The following is a 23,207-nucleotide window of genomic DNA, read 5'->3' as shown; positions in this document are numbered from 1 at the left end:
TCGTTTCATTGTTTCTTTGGATTGAGCAGTGGCATGGGTTAGTGTTTAAGTGCCTGGATACCTAAGTTTTAAGACAGTTTGAAGCTCAGCTCTGCAATGTATGATTCCCATGATCCAGGGAAGGATGAAATAACCTCTCCTTACTTCATCTGTAAATGCAGATTAAAATCATCCTTACCTGACAAGAGGACTCAGTGAATCAATGTAAGTAAAAGGCTTAGTCCGGTTGCTGGTGCAGTGGAAGCACAGTGTGTTTACTATCTTCTTGCTTCATTTTCAGAAGATAGACAGGGTGTTAGAACTACCACTGGCCTGTCACAAGTCATCTCACTGGTCAACAGTTATTTTGGGGGCCTGATGCCCTTCCACTCACAAAGAGGATGGTGTGTAAAGAATCTCTCTTGGTGTGACTCCAGGACTGGCCCACTGGCTTTTAACACACAAAATCCTCCTTTTTAGTTAGGCAGGAATCAGCCCAAGACTGAGGATTGGCAAATTGTGAGTTTTGATACTGATATGTAACTCATTCTTAATTACTCATCCACATACATTGTAGTGCCATCTCTGAAAACTGAGAACCCCTGAGATTGTAGTAGGAAAGATTTCTAGTGCCAGGAAGAGTAATAGCACTAAATCAACATGACCCAAGGACACGAGCAATTTCATAATGTAAATGATGATAACCTGTAAAATTATAGTTTTTATTTTCTTCTACTTTTACTGTAATAAATAACAATCTGGTAAAGAAGAGTAAAGACACATACAAGGCTGTCAATATTTTAAACATTTTTAGGAGGAGAAATCTAAAAGAAGAAAGGAAATGAGATAAGACACATATACTGCATGGAAATGATAGCAAAATTTATTTAGAAAATAATCTTCTTTTTACATTTTAGCATTTAAAAATAATTTTTATACATATGCCCACAGGCATAGTTTTTACAAAAATATAAATCCTGAACTTAGCATACGTACCATTTTTAGTACAGTCTTTTATTCTCTTTTTCACATATCTTCTTTCTGCACCTCAGCCAATAAGATTCCCTGCTTCACATACTCTCTCAGTGCTTGTTAAAAGCATTCTGGAAATATTTTTATATATTTCTCCATGATTATCGTGTTATGATTTTATACATATATAGAGTTTTTTGGCCTTTGTTCTTTTAAAAAATTATTTTACGTTTGCTTTTTTTGAATCTTTAGTTCCTCAGATAATAAAATCCTAGTCAACTGGACTAACATTAATTTATTATTTTTTTAATGCTGCGTGGTGTGAATGTACAGTAATCAACTATTCCTGTATACAAAAACATTGATTTTGGTTTACAGGATTTCTCATTTTTATCCTTTTCCTAGATCATGCCCCCAAATGGTTATGTCTTAGGTTATATCTGTTGCTTTAAAGGAATACCTGAGGAAGACCTGGTAATTTGTTTTGAAAAAGGTTTATTTGGCTTATGGTCCTGCAGGTTGTGCAGGAAGCATGGCACCAGCGTCTGCTTTGGGTGAGGACCTCCAGCTGCTTCCACTCATGGTGGAAGGCAAAGGAAAACTGGCTGTGCAGAGATCATATGGTGAGAGAGGAAGCAGGAAAGGAGAGGTGCCAGGTGCTTTTTAACATCCAGCTCTGGTGGGAGCTAATAGAGCGAGAACTCACTCGCCATCCCCCATCCTAGGGAGTGCATTAATCTGTTTATAAGGGATTTGCCCCCCATGACCCAAAAACCTCCCATTAAGTCCCATCTCCAATACTGGGGATCAAATTTCAACATAAGATTTGGAGGGGTAAATAAACCAAATTATAACAGTTTATTTCTTGATTTTGTTTTTGTCTTATCCTTGTAAAATAAGCTAGTAGCTTACATTTATATTTTCCTGCCTACCAATGAGTTTTCATATATCTTCATAAGTTTATTGGCTTTTGGGGTTTTGCTCTTTGGTAAAATTTTAATGAATATTCACAAGTTGCTTTACTCATTTGTGTCAGTTAGAGAAGAGTCTTGACTTTCCCCCCAAATCTCATAGTTACCTGTTTACTTTATGATATGATTGTCACTCAAAATAATCAATTTTTACATAGTTGCTCTGGTTTGAATGTTTGTGTACCTCAAAAATACATATTTTGAAATCTAAATCCCCAGTATGTAGGTATTAAGGGATGGAAACTTTGGAAGGTGCCTAGATCATGAAGGTGGAGCCTTTGTGAACAGGATCAGTACCCTTATGAAAGAAGCCTGAGGGAGTTCAACTCACCCCTTTCTATTATGTAAGGATGCAGCAGGAAGATGTTGTCTATGACGTCAGAGCCCTCACCAGACACTTAATTTGATGGCAACTTGATCTTGGACTTCTCAGTCTCCAGAACTGTGAGCAATAAATTTCTGTTATTTATAAGTTATCCAGTCTGAGGAATTTTGGTATAGCAGCCCAAATGGACTAAGACAGTAGTAAAATGTACCTATGTTTTATTTTATAGCTTTGGATTTTCTATCCTGGATTACAACATTTTTCTGCCCTTGGCTTATACATATTGTCTTCAGGATAGTCTCTAAATGTTTTATTGCTTCATTATTTTACATGTAAATCTTTAGTCTACTTGGGAAATAATTTCATATATTGTAGAAAATCATGTCCAATATAATTATTTTCCATATGAGTAGCGAGTGCCCCGACATCATATATTGAAAAGTGTATTCTCTTACTTTGGGAGGCCGAAGCAGGCGGATCCCTTGTGTCAGGAATTTGAGACCAGCCTGACTAACATGGTGAAACCCCATCTCTATTAAAAAAAAATACAAAAATTAGCTGGGTGTGGTGGTGGACACCTGTAATCTCAGATACTCAGGAGGCTGAGGCAGGAGAATTGCTTGACCCTGGGAGGTGGAGGTTGCAGTGAGCAGAGATCACACCACTGCACTCCGGCCTGGGCGACAGAGCGAGACTCCATAGGCAACAACAACAACAACAAAAAGTGTATTCTCTTCCAGCTGAACTGAAATACCAAACAAATGTTTATATGTATCAGTATATATTTGTGGATTTTCTATTCAGTTCTCTTAATCTCACTGTCTCTTCTGGCTAATGACCTATTGGTTCAATTACAATAGTTTTAGAATAGTTTGAATCCTGGCATGACGAATGTCTTGCCATTCTTTCTTTCTATTTACTAAATACTGTTTGGCTATTATCTAAAAGTTATTTCTTTTTATGAAAACTTTAAATGCCACTTTATGTAATCATAAAAAGCACTCTCTTGGGCTTTAACCAAAATATTCTTATATTTGTTAATTTAGAAAGATTTTATATTTTGTGATCTCAAGTCTGCTATCCAAAGAAATGGCATGCCTTTGGCTGGGAGTGGTGGCTCATGCTGTAATCCCAGCACTTTGGCTCACACCTGTAATCCCAGCACTTTGGGAGGTCAACGTGGGTGGATCAACTGACGTCAGGAGTTCAAGACCAGCCTGGCCAACCTGGTGAAACTTCGTCTCTTCTAAAAATACAAAAATTAGCTGGGTGTGGTGGTGGGTGCCTGTAATCCCAGCTACTTGGGAGGCTGAGGCAGGAGAATCACTTGAACCCGGGAGGCAGAGGTTGCAGTGAGCTGAGATCGCGCCATTGCAATGGAGGCTGGGCAACAGAGCGAGACTCCATCTCAAAAAACAAAACAAAACAAAAAGGCATGCCTTTTCATTTTCTATATCTTTATCATCAACATCCTATACCACTTCTATATATTTTTTTAAGTTCTTTATAATTTATTTTTTCTACTTTGATGAATATTTTCTTCTCATTTATATGTAAAGGTGGTTATCCCTAACTTATAAATCCTATTATAAATTCTAATTTTTTCAGTCCTGGAATTTTTGGGCAAAAAATGTTATTATAAAATGATTTAAGCTCTTCTTTTGCAGTATTATGTACTTGAGTCTTTGCATTTTTAGAACCTCCAAGTTAGTGTTAAATTATAAGGGTTATTGAGGATATTCATCTGACTTTTTATTTTATTTTGAGTGTTAAATATTGCCCATTTAGGATAATATTTTCTGTTACCTTTGGTCATTTTATTTTATTTGTTTAACTCCTTCATTTTTTACTTAAAATGTATTTAAAAGAATAATAAATTTAATCTAACATCACTTCAGCATTTGCACATTTTATTCTTCTTTATTTTCTTAACATGATGTATTATGTAAATAAATTTCCTGATATTAACCACCCTGCTTTTCCTGGAATAAGCCTTACTTGGTCATAGTATATTATTCTTCTAATAACTGTGCAGGATCAATTTTCTAATATTCCATTTGAACTGAGATTGTACAGTAGTTTTCTGTTGCATCTTTATTATGTTTTGGTACTAAACTGTACACATAAATGAATTAGATAAATGCCCATCTTATTATCTATGACTAGTTTATAACATTAGAATTATCTATTATTTAAAGATTGGATAAACTCAGCTGGAAATCCACCTAATCCTAGTGCTTTTTGTTATCCCTTCTATGATAATTAGCCTATTCAAATTTTCCCTTCTTATTGGGTCAATTTTGGTAATTGATATGTTGCTAGGAAATCATCTATTTTGTTCAGGTTTTCAAATTTATTGCCAGAGAGTTACATCCTGCATTAAATGTTAATAGAAAATATAGAAAAAGTATAATTCTATCCATAATGTTACTTAATGTAAATAGGTAAAATTGAATATGTACATGGTCATGTATTGGATAATATAAATGAAAATATTGAATTTGAGGATATTATTTTCCCCATGGGTTTCTCCTATTATAATATGATATCAGCAATATTATTTTAAAAACAAAGCATTGTACATTAGTAGTTGATAGGGTTTGGTTCTGTGTCCCCACCCAAATCTCATGTCCAGTTGTAATCCCCAATGTTGGAGGAGGGCCCTGGTTGGCGGTGATTGAATCATGGGGGCACACCGCTTCCCCCTTGCTGTTCTTGTGATGGTGACCACATTCTCAGGAGATCTGGTTGTTTAAAAATGTGTAGCACTTCCCCCTTTGCCCTCTCTCTTTCCTGCTCCACCATGTGAAGATATGACTGCTTCCCCTTTGCCTTCTGCCATGATTGTAAGTCTCCTGAGGCCTCCCCAGTCATGCTTCCTGTGCAGCCTATGGAACTTTCAATCAATTAAACCTCTTTTCTTTACAAATTACCCAGCCTCAGTTCTTTATAGCAATGCAAGAATGGAGTAATATGGTGGTTAAGAAAGGAGGTTCTGAATTTGGGCAGACATGGATTCAAAATATGGGTCTGCCATGTGTTCACTGTATGATGTGGACTGTTTACTGGAAGTCTTCTAATCTATTTTCTTGTTCGTATAATACAATGGGAACAATAATGGTGTCATCCTCTTAGGGTTGATGTAAGGATCAAATGATCTAATGCAAAAGCTTAGCATAATGTCTGATACATTATTAACCTTTAATTATTGATAGCTATTGTCATCAAAAAAGCAGACTGTGGAGAACCTGATAGCTACAGTTTGACTTTCATCACAGCTGATATTATTTATAATTCCATTTAGCCTTCCCAGCCTTAAGGGATGAGACGGCCAAAATGAAGAGTGTGTGGTGTAGCCACTTTGTTATTATTAAACTTACAGGCCCTGGCAAGTCAATAGTTCAGTCTAATCCAAGCTGATATGCAGATGGCAGAAGGACCTCCAGGCAGAGTTGTCGGAGTGGCAAAAAGCTGTATGAAAATGCGGAATAATGGGCTAACAGAGAAAAAGCTAGAGGATTTAGGAAGAGACAGCAGAGTGTCATTGATGGGATGAATTTTAGGCTTTCAGGATCAGTTTTAGAAATTCTGTTTCCACCATTTACTAACTGGGTCTTTGAGACTTAGTGTCCTCATTTTTAAAATGGGGCTAATAATCACACTTGCCTCATAAGGTTATCTTGAGAATTAAATCAGAAGATGCATGAAAAGTTCTTGATATGTAGTATATACTCAATAAAGGTTTATATTAAAAAGTGTCAAAATAATGCAGTCAGAGAAGGACCCCAGATAATGTACACAGTAGTAGAATGTAAGTTTCAAGATGGACTCATGAATAATCCCCGAAGTCAGCAGGAGAAATGATGGAATAGGAATTCCTAAGTGGCCTAATTCTGAAATGAGCATGAGAATGGAGAAAACAGTATAGCACCATTTGTACTACCCGCTTCCTTAAACTCATGACTGGATTTGGGAGAAGTTCATGTTGGTCAGGAACATTGTATTTAAACTCCAATTGGATTTTCTGGATGTAAATAGTTATAGTAATATAAATAACAAGAAGTGACTATCAGTGTGCAGATATGCATTTAGAAGTGGCCTCTATGGGATAAGGTAGAGTCTTGTCTGGAGGGTTGATACCTTTAACATGACACTGTAGAGGAAAGCAGCATTGATAATAATAGATATTGGGGAAAGACTAGGTTGGAAAAGAAATAAGTGACACCAGATGATTGACATACAACATGAAGATTTTAAAGCCTGAGTTGAAACTTTCATTATAATTAAAAAATATATATTATTATTTGTTCTGGAAGTTGTTATTGTTGTTTTGTTGTTGTCTGTTAAGCAGGGTTTTTGAAGGGACCTGATTCTTACAGGAGGAGAAAGGAGTTTACTACAGTTAAGAGTCTAAGAGAAAAATCTAGGGTGGATATAGAATAAAGTTTCTTCCTTTGGATGCAAAAAGAAGAATTTTGGCTGATCACTGAAGGATATACTTAAGCCAGTTAGAAAATAACTTGCTCCCCCAAAGATGAAGGATATATAGAATAAGAAGCCTTGAGCTGGTCAGTTAAGCAGGCAAAAGAAAGAGAAGAGAGAGGTGAGAAGGCAGGAAGGAGAAATAAACGTGGCCATGAATGCTGAAACCCTCTGTATACTTGTAATTTGCCCTATTTGCTTGATACTTGTACCTTCATATTCTTCTTGCAGCTATAAAATCGCCTGAGCACTTTAAAGGCACAGATGAGTGCACCGTGCTGGAGGAGATCAGGCTGGCAAGGAATGAAAATCATCAGTGAAAGGCCAGGGAAGAACCCCGGGTGCATTGTCTTTAGATAAGAATCTCTGCTTTCTGAAATGCAAGACAGACAGATATTGAAAGAATAGCAAAGCCAACTGGTTCATCCTAAGGGCTATGTTTTTAACATAGATGAATTACTAGTCAAGGAGAGGGTTACATCAGGAGGGTTGGAAGGGAATGGAGAAAAGATTCAGAAGAATGAGCCTGGAAATGAAAATTAAAACAAAGAGATGTCATTTGTCAACTACCAAATTGGTGAAGACTTACAAAGAATTACAGTACCCAGCATTTTCTAGGATAAATGAAGAATGGGACTCTAATTTATACATTACTAGTGGGAATATTCATCAGCACAGACTTTCTGGACTCAAATTTGGCAATGTGTGCAGAAAGCCTTAAATACGTGTACTTTCAAAGCCATTGTTTTAGTTAGGATTAGTTCAGCTGCGTGTGATAGAAAACCAACTTCTAAAATGACTGAAACAAGATAAAAGTATATTTCTCTTTCTCTCTGGAGGTGGGCAGTCCAGGGCTGGTTTGGCAGCCATAGAAGGTGATATGGACCCAGAGACCTATATCTTTTTGTTCGATCGCCCCAGCAAAGTCTTCTCATATCCTCGGTGGCTCCTTTGGCTCCAACCATCCTGTTAGAACTCTGCCTGAGGAAGACCAAAAGCAGACTTTACCTTTAAATAACACTTTGAAAAGTTGTACTTTACTACACTTTTACTTCTAGCTCAATGCCTAGAGCTTCTGGTTGAAAAGGTGGCTGGAAAAAAATGTAGCCTTTATGTAGGCATCCATGTGCTCAGCAAAATTTCAGTGATCAAATAATAAAAGCAAGGAACAACGAGTGAGAGCAGCAGCCTCTGACCTATTCCACTTTTATTTATATAAGGAAGTACTCAGAAAACAATTCAAAAGTGGGTATACACACATTTATTGCAGCACTATCATAATACAAAAAAATAGAAATCACTTAAGACCCCAAAAAGGAAGTAGTTCAATAACTTATAATACAAATTATAATACATACATGTATAGGATACTCTATAGCCATTAACATGGTATATAAAAGGACCAGGAGCTGTGGCTTACACCTATAATTCCGGGGCTATGGGAGGCAAAAGCAGCATCACTTGCTAAGAGGACTTCAGGACCAGCCTGGGCAACATAGTGAGACCCAGACTCTACCAAAAGTTAAAAAAAAAAAAAAAAAAAAAAAAGCCAAGTGTGGTGCTGCGCACCTATAGTCCTAACTACTGGGGAGGTTGAGGCAAGAGGATCATTTAAGCCCAGGAGATGAAGGCTGCAGTGAGCCATGGTTGTGCTACTGCACTCCAGCCTGGGTGACAGAGCTAGACCTTGTCTCTAAAACAAACCCAAACCAAACAAACATGGTATATAACTGAATTTCTTGATGTGAAAAAGTAATTGCGATGTGTTACCAATTGAAAAGCAGTTTACAAAGTGGCATGGCTACTATCATTCATGTTTGTAAGAAAAAGTCTAAATAAATAAAAGTCAGAATAGATATACGTTAAAATGATAATCTCTATTGATTGGAGGAATTGTTGGCAATTTTAATTTTCTTCTTTGTACTTTGTAATTTCTGAATTTGTCACCAATGACTATAAATGTATATTTAAAAAAAATCACACACCAGGATTCTATACCTATTTTGCACTGCCAAAGATACACCTTTCTTTAAAATCTTGCTATTTCTCGAACTATCACAGTATTTGCTCCTCCTTCCACTTTTGACTGTTTCCATACTAATCATTTCTAAATAAAATTAACACATCAATTTCCCTATAAGAACAACTCTTACCATACTATTTCTGTTAAACCATAAATACTCTGGAATTGCTTCTTGAATTAAAATAAATAAAATTTTCTTTCCTTGAACTTCAAAGTTTTTCACTTGATACTCAAAACCTACTTTGTTCATTTCATCATGCCAATGACATCTTCCCTGACAAATGTGTTATTAGCTGGTCTCAAATACTTCCAGTCTTTTTCTGCTTCCAGGTCTCTATGTCAGAAATACTCTTCTTTCTCTATCTTTCAATGTTAAAATCCATCTTCCATAATCTTTAAGATCCTTCTCAAATAGTGTCTCCCCTGTAAAGCAATTCCAGTAGATGTAATCTCTACAAACTTTTCACAGTTGCAATGGTTATCTTCAGTATTATGTAAAAGCTATTTTGAGGCTTGTCTTCTTCCTTTTGTTAGAATCTTGCAAATTCTCTGAAGCCCAGACTTTAAGTTATTCATCTTTGCATCCTCCATTATACCTATCACAGAACTTAAGTACAATAGGACCTCAGCCAGTGTTCCAGGAAATAAATTAAATTGAATGAAATTTCCATACAGTGATAAGAAGGAGATTACTGCTGCCCACGGGGAAAAAGGAGAACAGAAATGGGAAAGCCGTATTGAGAGGATGTTTGAGAACTGTGAAAGACAGAAAGCAGAGTGAGTTGAAATAAAAAAGTTTCCAAAAAATGAAATGTCACTGAACTTTAATAAAAAGATATGATTCAGAGAAATAAAAAATAATCCAGGACCAAACTCTTTTGTAATTATCCATGATTCTCTTCCTAAAATTGACACATGGTCTTGTCTTGAACATCTCCAGTGACACGAAACTTACTACCTCACATGGTAGCTTATTTCTTTGGAGGACAGTTCTAATTGGTGGAAATTTCTTTCTTTGTATTGAGACAAAATAAGCCCAATTTTTGTCCAGTCCTCCTATTTCATCTTAAATCTTCCTTCTCTAGGAGTGCCATTTACATATTTGATCAAGTTTATTTTGTTCTTTCCAAATCTTTCTACTCTTAAGCTAAGCTCCTTGGTTTTATTAAATCATCCCTCAGAAATCATAACCAGGAGATTCAAAAAGAGCCTGTCTTTTCAACAGATTAATATTCTATCACTGGTATTATCTGATACACATTGCAGACATGCCTTGCCCATCTTCAGCACACTATGTATAATTTATGATCACCCAGTACCACATTGCTACTTTGCTCACTCTCCCCTAAGAAGATCTATGGGGTTTAACAATTTTATAAAATGGGAATTAAACTATCCTTAATAAACAGCTGTTTTTATTGACCTGTTTATGTTGATGAGATTCTCATCATAAATCTCTGACTCATCACTTCTAGCCAGATTGCCATGCCTAAACCACTTTCTTTGAAGTTTATGGAAGCACCACTGCATTTATGCCAGAAGGTGAAAGTCCAGAACAGGTGGGTGAATCTCCAGGTGGGTGATATCGTTCTCAGTAGCACAGATACATGAAAGCAAGCAAGGGGCAGAAAGCACAGAGCTCACCAAAATGGGCCAAGCCTTAGTGGGGCAATGTCAAACCCTACCATATTTTTAATCTGTTAATTGCATCTCAACCAGAAGGTCAGGAAGCTGTATCATGAGAAATTTGGAAATCAGAAATGGGACATGGCTGAGCATACAACTAACTGGGGGGGAAGGACATCCTGGATTTTGTGAGGTAAATGAAGGAATGCACGATTGTATACAGCACTCAGTTATGAGACCATGTGAATAATGTCTTCAGAGACAAGAAAAGTTATCTTCATCACAAAGTGATGATGGATATCACCTAGAGACAACACAGATCGATAGAGAAAGTTTCTACAAGATTAAAAACCTAATGAATGTTGTTTCCTTTGTCTCCTTTCCTACCAGTTGAATAAAAATGTCCAACAAACATTTTCAGAATTGAAGGGTACCAAGTATCTTTTTTTTTTTTCTTTGAGATGGAGTCTTGCTCTGTCGCCCAGGCTGGAGTGCAGTGGCATGATCCAGGCTCACTGCAACCTCCTCCTCCCAGGTTCAAGTGATTCTCCTGCTTCAGCCATCTGAATAGCTGGGATTACAGGCATGCACCACTACACCTGGCTAATTTTTGTATTTTTAGTAGAGATGGGGTTTCACCATGTTGGCCAGGCTGGTCTTGAACACCTGACCTCAAATAATCCACCCACCTCAGCCTCTCAAAGTGCTGGGATTACAGGTGTAAGCCACCACGCCTGGCCAAATATCCCCTTTTATGGATTAGAAAAGAATCTCAGAAGTCAAGTATGTTGTATAAGGTCGTGCCCCCAGTTAGTTGAAGAACTGGGATGAAAACCCAGGTGTCCTGCCTTCCAATTTACTATTCTTTTTACCAAAAAAGTAAGGGATTTTTTTTGCTGATTCTTTTTCTTTACTTTTATCTTTCTCTCTCTCTTTCTTTCTTTCATTTTCTTTCTTTTTTTTTTTCCATAACTTCAAGCAAAACATGATCACTAAGAAAAATCCTAACAAGGCAGAAATAGGGGAACAGGAGGAAATCAATATTATACCTCTGCTTTTGCTGAGGCAAAAACAGAGGCAAGAAATGATGACTTTGACATTCCAGCCCCCAGTATGCTGCCTGCAGGGTAGGGACACCAGCAAATTCAGCAATGGCATGAGAAACACAACAAAACAAAAAGCAAGATTTTTTTAGGCATTTATTATATCTATGCAGGAGAAAGAAGAGTTACAAATATGTCTATTAATTTCATCTCAATAGTGGCTCCCTAATTTGAATGGTGTTAATTTCATTGATTTAACACTGTTGAGTAATTAAGAGAAATGGAGGGATAATCCGGAGTCCTCAAAGGAAACACTGCAGCTAACAGGATCACGCCAGGCTCATTAACTGCTGTTTGTAACCCTTAAAAAAGTTCCCATTTGGCCCAACTGTGTGATTAGTTGGTATCTTTCTATTTCCTTAAAAATATTAATGCAAGATACTATGAGCCTGTCTCAGGGGCAGGCACTGTATCACCAAAGACAAAGTCCCTTGCCTACTTTCCAGTGGCTTTATTTCCTAAATTTAGATTGCAACCTTTTTCAGGATGGGGCCAGGAGCCTCCTTTCCTCTTCAATATACCACAGTCCTGTAAAGTCACTGCCAGAACCAGGGCCGGGGCTTAGGGGAAGATGTTATCTGTTGATTAATGTGGTCTGCACTGATATTTTGTATTGTCTTTGCTTTCTCTTTGAGACTTTGCTATGCTGATTAAAAAAAAAAAAAGGAATCATTTCTCTGTAACGTCTTTGCAAATTGGAACTAATTAGCCCATTTGGGAAAATGACATGTAGTTCAGGGAAACAGACATCCTGAATTTTCTAGGACAGTGCCAGTTTCAAATATATGTTCTTAAGGTTTCTGTAAATGTATGACATATGCTGAAAATTTAATGTTCAGGGGACACAACTACATCTTCTATGTTGCCTTTTTTACAAAAAAGGGTTTTTTTTTAGGTGCTTTTTGGTTTGAGAATGAGTGTTCTACATACTGGCCTGTAAGGCAGTGCTACTCCAAGTGTGGTCCACAGGCTGGCAGCAACATCATAGGGGAGTATGTTAACAATGCTGATTCTCCAGCCCCAGCTCCGGACTCTGTTTTAACGGTCTATCCAGGTAATTCTTTTTCATGATGTAGAATGAGAAGCACTTCTCTAGGGTGTAGATTCCATAATTACCAATTTTTGAGGCAGCAGACAAGCATGCAAAACCACTGGACAGAGCATGGGAGTCCCAGCAGCCAATATGACTCCAAAAATGCAATTCAGAATTTATGAGGTCATTGGAGATGGTAATTACAGGCTTTCTCAACAGTGCTGCTTCTTCAGCAAAGTGGTATTTATGAAGTCCCAAGATGGCCTTTGCAGCCCATGAATCACTGTGACTCTATACACTTCTGTGAATGCCTGGACCCTGGCAGGAGGTGCCCACTGGGTAAAGATTAGTTACCAGTCTTCCCAGAAGGGTTAATGACTCTTGCAGTTCTTACTGCCTGTGACATATGCCCAAGACAATGGAGATCTAGAAGGGATAGACCCCTGGCCAGCCACCTTATTCTTTTTTCTCCCCAAAGGCATGAATTCTACTCAAGTGGCCTGCCCCTCAGCAGAAGTTGGACAGGTGCTTATGTTGCAATTAACAAAAAGGATACATGCTGGGTCCTGCAGTAAATGTCTCCCTTGGATCATGAAGTCTTTTTACCATGTTACTGGAACACAGAAGGTATTGCAATATATTACATATGTCAGGTAGAATGTTTCAAGATTAATAAGATGCTATCCTGTATGCCAAGTGGATTATTGATTATTTTTTAATTTTTACAACAAACCAATGAGGTAGGTATTTTTATTTCCATTTTGCAGATGAACAAACTGAAGCTAAAGAGAAGTATTATGTGTGCAATGGCATACAACCATCTGAAATGGAAAAATAGATTGTGTTCCTATGAGCTTCCATAATACCATGTGACTTCTCTGACATATGGAGGGTTTTGAGCCTGGGAATGAGGCATTGTCTGTAAGTTACTAGCACCAACAGTGTATTTTGGGAACAAGCACAGGCTGAGAAAAAAGAACAAGCCAGATATGAGAAGGGAATCTCAAATATCGGCTACTCAGAAGTGCCTTCTCTGGCCACTCTCTCTAAAATAGAAATGACCCTATCTTTCACAATTACCTGACCTGATTTGTCTTTCATAGTTCCTCACAGAACTTGACATGATATTATATATTTTTTTGTTTTTTTTTTTTGGAAATATTTTCCCCTTTGGAACATAAGCTTCATGAAGGCAAAGACTTGTTGGTTTCATCTGTACATCCAGTACCCATAACAGTGTCTGGCACATAGTAGATACTCAGTGAGAGATTCAGTGTACACACAGACAATGGCCTCACCAGATATAAAAACAGAACTTTAACCCACAACCTGCAGCAACCTGTCCAGGAAATCAACCCCTTATCTACTATAAGCAAACCAGGAAGCCAGCCTGCTGTAAGTCAGACTTTTCTGGGAGTTAGATTGCTATTTCCAGTGACATTCTAGGAAGCTAAACAACTGCTGTAACAATTTGCCTAAAATGAACAGGACTTGATTAATACCTGAAAGCTTCCCTCATTTTTGTCCCCAACTTAGGATCCACTAGAGAAAGACAAATATATTCCCCTAACCAATCACATAGCATTCTGTGTCCAGTTAGCTAGCCTACAGCTTCCCTGTGCCAACAGCCTCCAATCGGGGCATAGCTGAAGCCTTTCCTTTTTTTCCACCATAAACCTTCCTACTTCTCTGTCTGCTTTTGAGTCTCTGCCAAAACACAAGTGACAGTGGCTAACTTCCTTGCGTTGGTAAGCTCAGAATAAATAGACTTTGCTGTTCCCATTTGGTTGGTCTTCATTTATTTCTGCATCAATAATAGATGTTGAACAAATGAAGGAGTAGATGTTCCTTGAGTTGGAAAGGCCAATCAGAGAAGCTTATGAAATCTGTAGGAAGAGGATGTTTTAATGGAATAGACTGTTTGTATAACAATCATATTTGTGTGTGTGTGTGTGTGTGTGCGCGCGCGCGCGCGCTCGCACACATGCCTCCAAACAGAAAACAAGAAGGAAAGGCAAAGAGATGTCATTTAGATGAGACCAAGTAGCCCTGGGGGACATTTTGAAACACATTCATAATCATTGTGGTCATGTCAAAATCTTAATGTTGGATCCTTGAAGACAGGGTTATTACTATGATTTTTCTCCAAGAGAATTCTCATTAGTGTGCCCTGAATGAGAGTACAAGAGTCAGCAAGTGCTAAGGAACTACCTTTCTAGGTATAGCATTAAAGGTCAAAAGTCCCAGTGTTCCACTGGCTAAAGATAAAGACAATTAAGCCCCAAACACAGCAGGACTACTAAGCCCCATATAGATGGAAGCAACTTTTATAATTAGGCCAATGTCTGGTGATCAGGATGGTGAAAATATGTGTCCCACTCAATTAGATTGGCCAGGAATAGGTCCAGGAGCCTCAGGAGATTCCCGAAAACACCCCACTCTAGTTCAGATCTAGAGTTTAATTTAACTGAAAAGGAGGTTATCAAAATGGGTATACTGCTATCGATGCCTTCTTTCATGCCTTGTAGTGTCAATTTACCTTAGAGGCTCCTGTCCCATCAAACTATATTTTTCTGGCTGGTCTAGTTCACAGAGGTCTGTGTGTGGGCAATTTTGTATGCATGTGTGACAGTGTCTGGGACATATCTCAGTGTTGGATCAGGAAGCACACAAGGGTATTCTTGACCTTTTTATGCATAATATGTGTGCCCTGGTCTTGACAGAATGTGATTAAGACGGAGAAATTAAAGGGCAAAAGTGAAATTCGGTTATTTTCAAAGCAACTGTAATAGAACAGATCAATAACTTGTGGCTTGTTTTTACACCAATCTTTATTGTTTTTGACAGATCCCCTACTGCATTAAGTGCAATGTATTTCGATGTTATCTAAGTACCCTCCAACAGGTCAGCTGGTTTCACAGGGATTATTTCATAGTGGGTTGAAATATAATGGTTCAATCTGGGCACGCTGAAAGGCAGGGTTTGTAGCAATGTGTGAGTCCTGTGATTCACTGGTGAGATTGTGATGAGGAATTGCTTGCCTGAGGGGCAGAAACAAAATGCTATGAGATAAACCAAGGCCATTATCCAAGCATTCTTTGGTGTGTTTCATTTTCAGCTATAGATGCTGCTTTTCTGTCAAAGATGGGATGGAAAGAAATCTCTTGTTGGTAAAATGCTAGAGGGACATAGATGGAACATGTTTTTATTATAGAATTATGAGGCAGGAAAAAAAAAAGAAAACCTCATGACATAATCTGGTCACCTCCAGGCCCTTGGCAGAACTTCATTTAAACTACCATGAAAAAATGCTTTGAATATGTATGGCACCACACAGTGTAATATTCTTATTAATAATAGATTTATCCATCTTTTGCTAATTGTCCTTAAAAGGTAATACTCTGGAGTTGGCTATTAGTAGATCATTTCCATATCTTAAAATTATTAGAGTCAGTTAATTTTTTTAAATATCTCATCTTAATTATTCCTTCGGTGTCTTGTCTTACTCTTCTTGAATGACAGCAGGAAAGCAATATTCATTCTAGCTTTTACATTCTAACTTCAGAGTGTCCAAAGATTCCAATAATTTTGTATTAATCAAGGTAAGCTAATCCTCTTTGCTGCCACAGACAAATCCCAAAATCTCAGTGGTTTAATACAGAAAGGTTAATTTCTTGCCATAAGCAAAGTTTAATGTATATCAGGTGACCTTCCTCCACCTTGGAGTGATTCTGTTCTGAATCTGTGGTCTCCAAAATCATCATGGCAGGGAACTGTGGGCTACAGGTATGAGTTCAGCAGTCATTTGGGAGGTGCTTGGAGCAATCATCTCTTTTCTAGGCAAGTACTCTGAGATGCATTTGTTTGTTTGTTTGTAGTTCTTTATCACCTGTGATTTATCCCTCAATTTCTAACATTTTAATTCTCTCAGTTAACTCAATTGTCTAGGACCGAAGAGAAGGATTTTCATCCACATAAAAGAGGGGTTTGTATTATCTGTGATCTCTAGAGCCGTATCAAGACACAAATTAATATTTGATCTCAATTATCTAAGTTGACTGCTGACATTGCATTACTCTCAAATTTAAACTTCATTTGAAACCATATAGGCTTTGCCTATCTAAAATTTTTTCTTAATCTCATGAAATCACTCAAAATGCTTGTGTACACAATCCACACTTGTGTCTCGTTCTTTTCATCTGGGGTAGATGTCCCAAGGAGACCTTATGCACTCATGACTGATGCTAGGCAAAGAGGTTTTTCTCAGTGAGCCAGTTATTGCCAAGTAGCCTAAAAGAGGACTAGCTTAGCTTTTCATTTAGCGATTTTATTTTATTATTTTTCTTATTGAATAAAGTATGTGCCCTCTGGGATTAATTCCCATTAGGAGGCAAGAATCAAGTTAAACACATCCATTAAAATGCATATGAAATGAAACAGCAGAAGATTAAAAGAGTTTGCATTTCAAAATACCAAATACATGACCATTTTGTGAAGAAAAGCAAACAGTTAATAAAGCTAGAGCAGCCTTGTAACAGTAAGGAAATAGCCTTCCTCCCTCCCCCATAACTTTGGGGAGCCCTGCTGTACAAGCACACATTATTCTTCCCCTACCCTTCACTTAGGAAATTGAAGGCTATATTCAAAAATTATGTTAAAATTAGGTGAAGCTCTTATGATTAGAACTGGATGTTCCCAGCTATTTATCTCAAAAGTGGGTGAGTATGTCATCCTGAAAGAAGCCCATCATAACCTGCAAACTACTTCCTCCTGGATCTGAGAGACCCAGCAAAGCTTGGCCCTTTGGCTCTACTTCATTCAGTCTGACCAGCCAAGCTTGGAACTTTGGCTCTACTTAACCATTCAGTCTGTTGACTAGAACATTTTACTATGCTTGGAGGGTGGAACTTTTTCATGAACAGGGTCTTCTGTAGTCAAGGGTTGCAGAATATGCCATCCTAAAATATGCCACTTTGGGATTATTTTGAGCCAAAAGCAATTGAAAAGAAGCCAATAAGAGAAAACCTCTCTGCCCTCTCCTCCATTTACCTAAAAGCAGGACATACATTTTCAAAGGTGTTCCTCCTTTCCTCTCCACCAGGAAGGATGAAGATGGCTTTAGACCTTTATCAGCCTGGAGACAGCACCAGAGGCATCTACATAACCAACTTGCCTAACCAGCTTTTATCTACCATTAGTTTCCCACCCACCTGATTCCCCACAATTTGCCTCCCCTGGAAATTCAAGCTCCTTTTCCTTTATCTTGTCGTTTCTCTAAAAATGCATTATTCTTTGTTCATGATACCATCTAAGTCAGAGTTCTACGCCAGCCCTCAGAGAGTTACTCTTTCCCTGAGTTTTCTCCCATGTATGCATGAAATATACATGTTAATAAACTTCTGTTGGCTTTTCTCTTGTTAATCTATCTTTTGTTACAGGGGTCCCTGCTGAGAACTCAGGAAAGTGGAGAGGAAATTGTTTTTCCTCCTGTACAATAGTCGTAGATTGGCACAGAGAGCTGGAGAAAGCATGCTTTAAAGTTGCATAGATAAGGGTCATGTCCAACACTGACATTTTATAGTGTGTCCCTATGGGAGAAGGGTTTACTCTCCTTATCAGAAAAATGGGCATCAATTAACCTATATTGCAGAATGTTTGTGGGTATTTACTAGAAATATTTGGGGAATAGCCAAGTACACAGAGCTCAGTAATTGATGACTTTTATTCACTTTTATTTTTTGCATAGCCTTGAGAGATTCTTCCAGCAGATTACTTGTTTGGGTTTCCTGGGTCCAACTACCTCTCATTTCACAAAATGTGGCCCATTTATTTTAGCTTTCATTTCAAAATAAAGTAAAAAACAGAAAGCCACTCTGGTTTAGTGCCTTGCCCAAGGGCATAAAGTTATTGAATCATCCAGAGCCAGGCATTACTCGTGTCTTAGTGAGAAGGATGCAAATCTAAAGGCATGTCCTTTTTCCATTTGACTTGGAAGGAGCTTTGGATGTCACCAAGTCCCCACAGGCAGCCTAAAGGGACTTTGTGAGAGGGATGGATGGATATTTGGGAATATTATTCTTTTTGCACTACAAAGGATCTTTGTGTATTGCTTATTTCCATTAGTATTGCAGGGTGAAGGGCATTTCATATCATAGAGATAGCAAATCATTCTGAGATAGCAGCTGTTAGAATTCCTAGCCCAAGTGTATCAGGAGGTACTGTTTTTGACAAAACCAGAGAAATACTATGAGCTGAGTAAAAATAAGAGATTTCAATGAGAAGTTGCTATTGTTACTACGATGCCTTTTATTTTAGAAACTATAATTCATGCATATTGGGAATGAGGATCCTGGATCAACTGTAAAATCATGTTTTATCCACTCTTCATTTGAAGCATGCATTGAATACCTCTTCTGAACTTAGCATTGCTACTGTGGCTAGGGGAATAGGAGAAGAATAGGCTCTGATCCCTGCCCTCAAGTTTCATAAGTTGTTTCAGAGATAAAATTTACAAACTTAAATTACTTGTAGAACCTACAAAACAGAAATTAATTAATTGCCAAAATTCATGTTCTAGAGAGTAAGTGTTATAGGAGATAAGGCCAAAAGAGATCCCACACCCTGTCAAACAGATGAGGAGTTAGTTTTAGGGGAAGATAGGGAGGTTTTATCCTTGTTATATGAGGTAGTCACAGATATCAGGTGGTAAATCTCAGCAGGACCAAGGACAGAAGATGTCAGGCCTACACATGGAAATACATTTGTCCCCTGCCTAGAGTTGATGGAAATTAGAGAAACAGATTTGTAGAATAGTCTTCAAACAGTCTATAAACCCCAGATACAGGAGCTCTACAAAAAATATTTATTTTTAAAAATATACAATTTAATATGTTAACTATTTTCAAAAAATATTAAAAATCGAGTTTAAAATAAAGCCATTAAATAGGTTTTGTATTAAATTTCAACATATTAGAGCACACCTATGCTTTTAATATGTTGCCAATGCATTCATTTTGTGCAGATATTAAATATAAACTTTTCTCATCTCTGGGTACATATTTGGTCTTTTTGTATAGGAGTCATGTGCTCATTCTTTTCTCTTCTAAATGTAGGTATTTGAGTGTCCAATCATGGAAACTAGTACAAGCAAATACAATCACATATCCCATAGTGGCAGTATTATGTTGTAAACACTTCTAATGCATCTTGGTGGCTTTGAGAGACATTGCAAAGGATTCAGCTGTAAAGCAAAAATGTCTAAGTACACTTAATACTCAGCAAAAACAGTTTAAAAATACAAAAACCCAAATTGTTATTGTTTGCAACAATTTATGCATGAGAATTAGCATTATTTACAGACCGTGCAACTGCAATATCCAGAGATAAATTTAATGCTATGCCAGACGCCCCCCTCAACAAACAAAAAAACAAATTCATCTAGTAAACATTATAGTTTCTTAAAATTAGTCTCATTATCATTATTTTATTACTTAAGCAGTAGTTGCTGTAATGAGGAGTTTAAAATACATAGATAGTGAAGTCTTTTCAAATATATATTCAGAATCCAAACATTAGATTTGTTTGGATAAAAAGGTTTATTATAAAAGGGTATTTGAAAACTATTGATTTAGAGGCACAAAAGCTGAAGGCTTAGGTCTAAACCTTGGGCTCTCCAAGCCTTAAGGGGATGGAAGGGAGAAGCAGAGGGGCAGGGGATGCCTATTAGCAAAGAACATAAGTTATTGGTCTTAAATTTCAGCAGCTTTGATATTCCACGATTGCCCTTTTGATGTAGTATTAAGAGGGCTAGAGCATCCCAAAATTGGATAAGTAATCCCTTAATAATTGCTAGATGACTTGTGTGAAACAAAAGCCTTTCTTACAATTAGCATGAGTTTCTGGTAGCCTCATTCTGGCTGTGGTCAAGGGTACTGGTGCACAGCGAAATGCAGATGCTATAGTTTTCTGCTGCTGCTGCCTGGGAATAATCAGCATCTCAGAGACATGGAAGTGCCATGAAAGGGGATAGAGGTGACCCAGAAGAGGCTTCTGAGCGATGCTGGGGTTAAGAAGACTGAAAAATGGAAGACTTAGACCTAACTTTAATGAGAACAAGGAATTCTAAGAAAACAGTTTTTCATGTCTGGCTAGAGGAGAGAAATCAAAGTTAAAGGCTGTTCATTGGTGAGGTCAAGCAGACACCACAGAGTAGTATGTTCAGATGGATAGAATTTATTTCAACCTAGAATGGCTCCTCGGTGACCAGGGAAACTTGCTGAAGTTACTTTTCTGTGTGCAGAGGTGGAAGAAAGGGTTAGGTAGTAAAGGATAGTTTCCCTACCCCAGCTTACCAAGAATCAGCTCTGGAAGTAGAGCCAGACAACTGGAGGGAAGCAAAACTCCATTAACCACTTCCTTTGGTAAGCACCTGCCAAGACTTATCTGTACCAGTCTCGGTACTAAGACCTGGGGCTACATCGATGAAAGCACAGTCCTTGCTCTCCAGGAGCTTACAGACAGTATAAGCTAGGGGACCAGAATGAGTAAGCAATGGCAATGCACTGAGATGGGAGGTCAGATGAAGAACAGCACAGGATGGGGGAGGAGGCAGAGAAAGAATAGCTAGTCTAGGTTAGATTACATTTGATCAGGATAAATTAGATGTAAATTAGCTAAAGAGGAGTGGAAAAGAAGGGCAGTTTCAGATATCAGAAATAGTGCTTTCCAAGGCAGGGGGAGAAAGGGAGGAGGACCTGTTGAAGAGCAAAGGGGAGCCTTGGTTACAGAATTGGGAAATGAAGCTTAAGAAAAAGGACAGGCAGTGTTATCACCAAGCCAGGTTCCCTGCCATCAAGCAGCCTGCATTCTCATGGGGGAAATAATAAAAATATGTAATGCAGTATTGAACCACAGGGGCATTTCTTTCCCTGGATACTATAAACAACTTCAAGAGGAAAAACCGAGAACTTAAGGGGTAATTTCATCCTTATGCCTGCCTGAGATCAGAGTTGAATGATCAACATTACAGAACTCCTTGATAAATCACATACATTGGAAATAAGCTAGGCTTTCTTTGATGGTGAGAAAAAGCTGGAGTGCTGTAAGTACAATAATAAATACCAAGAAATGGGTGTGATAGGAGAAAAGGAAATTAACTTTGGAAGAGAAAGGAGGGAAAAAGAAATCTTCCCAGAAAACGTGAGATTTCATTGTGTCTTTAAAGATGAAGAGATGTTTATTAAGAAGTCAAGGAGGGTTAAGGGCAGTCTAGCATCCGAGTGCGGCCTGTGCAGAGTCGTAGACATGAGAAGCAGCAATGGGGAGCTGGAGAATGCAGCTGAAATTGGGAAATTTCGATTAGGAAGCCTGAAAAATGTGTCTGTTTTTAGAAAGGGTGAACGATAAAGGGGAAAGATTTTATTTTGTCAGTGATGGAGAGCCCCTGAAGGATTTTAAGCCAGGAAAGGATAAGAAATAGAGAGTTCCAAGAAGAGCTTAATCGGTTCTTTAAGCTAAGGGAAGTTAATTAGGAAATGTAAGAAAATTGCCTCTGTAATTTTCTTAGTGTGTACATAGTTGATGTTCAAAATTTTGTTGAAATGCAATTTTATATATTCTCTCTCTTTGGAAAGATAAATGAAGTTTCCAAAGCCCACTGCATCTGGTTGGGTGAGTTGCAGGACAGCCCTAACCCAAGAAATTTATCACAGTGCTTGCCTGCAAAGAAAGGAATTAAGTGTAGAGAAGACAGAGATGGAAGGAAAACTTAGATCATAAACCTATTCCTCTTTACTCCTTGATATTGCAGCACATACATAGGTATATTATCTACCACCATACTTTTTACTTTTTTAACCAAAAAATATTTCTTTATGATTCTCTCTATATAATTTTATGCCACACAGGTTTAATTTCCTGGTAAGCACAGATTTTTAAAAGAACAAATTTTGTGTGAAGGACCAACAACTAAGGAAAAAGAAATATGAGCGAGAAACATAGAACCCTAGTTCTTACATGTGACAAAGAGGAAAGCTTAGAATTAGTTGAAACATACAAAGATATTAAACACAACACAAATGGCCTTTAAAGTCTTGTCTGTAGTAACAGGCTTTAGGCTCATTCCCTGGCTGGTGATGTGATTTTAATAGGTGGTAGGAGGAAGAGAGATGTATTTCTTACTTATTTTGCTGTGGAATTCTTTAGCAACTAAACTGGGTTTTAAACCGGTAAGAACAGAAGACAAAATGTAAAAGTACAATGACTACTCAAGGCAGATGGGGAAGTAAGAAGTGACTGCTTGTCTAGGGAAGTTTAAATTCGTAACTCAGAGGATTCCATCCCAGGATACTAAAGGAACTTGCAAATGTAATCTCAGACTCACTATCTATAATCTTTGAGGATTCTTGGCAATCAGAAGATTAAAATAGGCAAAATTGTAATCCTAAGCTTCGAAATCAGATAGGAAAGTTGAATCCTAAACATTGTAGATATTGACTTATGGACATTGCTCTTGGGTGAAAATCGACGGCAGTCTGGGACCGGATGAGCAATTCTGTCTGTGAAAAAAGACCATAGACTCAGAATGGAAAGCAAAGCTCAGTTTGTAAGCACTGCACTGGCAGACAGGGAGAGACTTCTCAGCAGCCTGAGCTGAGTGGTGCCCCACACCACACCAGTTTCATTACACATCAGA

General features: G+C 37.9%; 1 long non-coding RNA gene across 1 annotated transcript in view; it reads left to right on the top strand.

Annotated features, from left to right (window-relative positions):
• LOC102724465 (uncharacterized) overlaps nt 1-23,207 on the top strand; it is a 379,687-nt gene that overhangs the window by 271,592 nt on the left and 84,888 nt on the right. Inside the window, exons 4-10 of the long non-coding RNA NR_187944.1 lie at nt 162-204; nt 1,470-1,505; nt 2,272-2,366; nt 9,428-9,529; nt 10,228-10,294; nt 12,500-12,535; nt 12,993-13,141. This is a non-coding gene — a long non-coding RNA (uncharacterized LOC102724465). The remainder of the gene's footprint in view (nt 1-161; nt 205-1,469; nt 1,506-2,271; nt 2,367-9,427; nt 9,530-10,227; nt 10,295-12,499; nt 12,536-12,992; nt 13,142-23,207) is intronic.

The sequence above is a fragment of the Homo sapiens genome, chromosome 15, assembly GCF_000001405.40.
Source record: "Homo sapiens chromosome 15, GRCh38.p14 Primary Assembly".
Lineage (NCBI taxonomy): Eukaryota > Metazoa > Chordata > Mammalia > Primates > Hominidae > Homo > Homo sapiens.
This window is presented reverse-complemented; position numbering and strand designations above follow the sequence as displayed.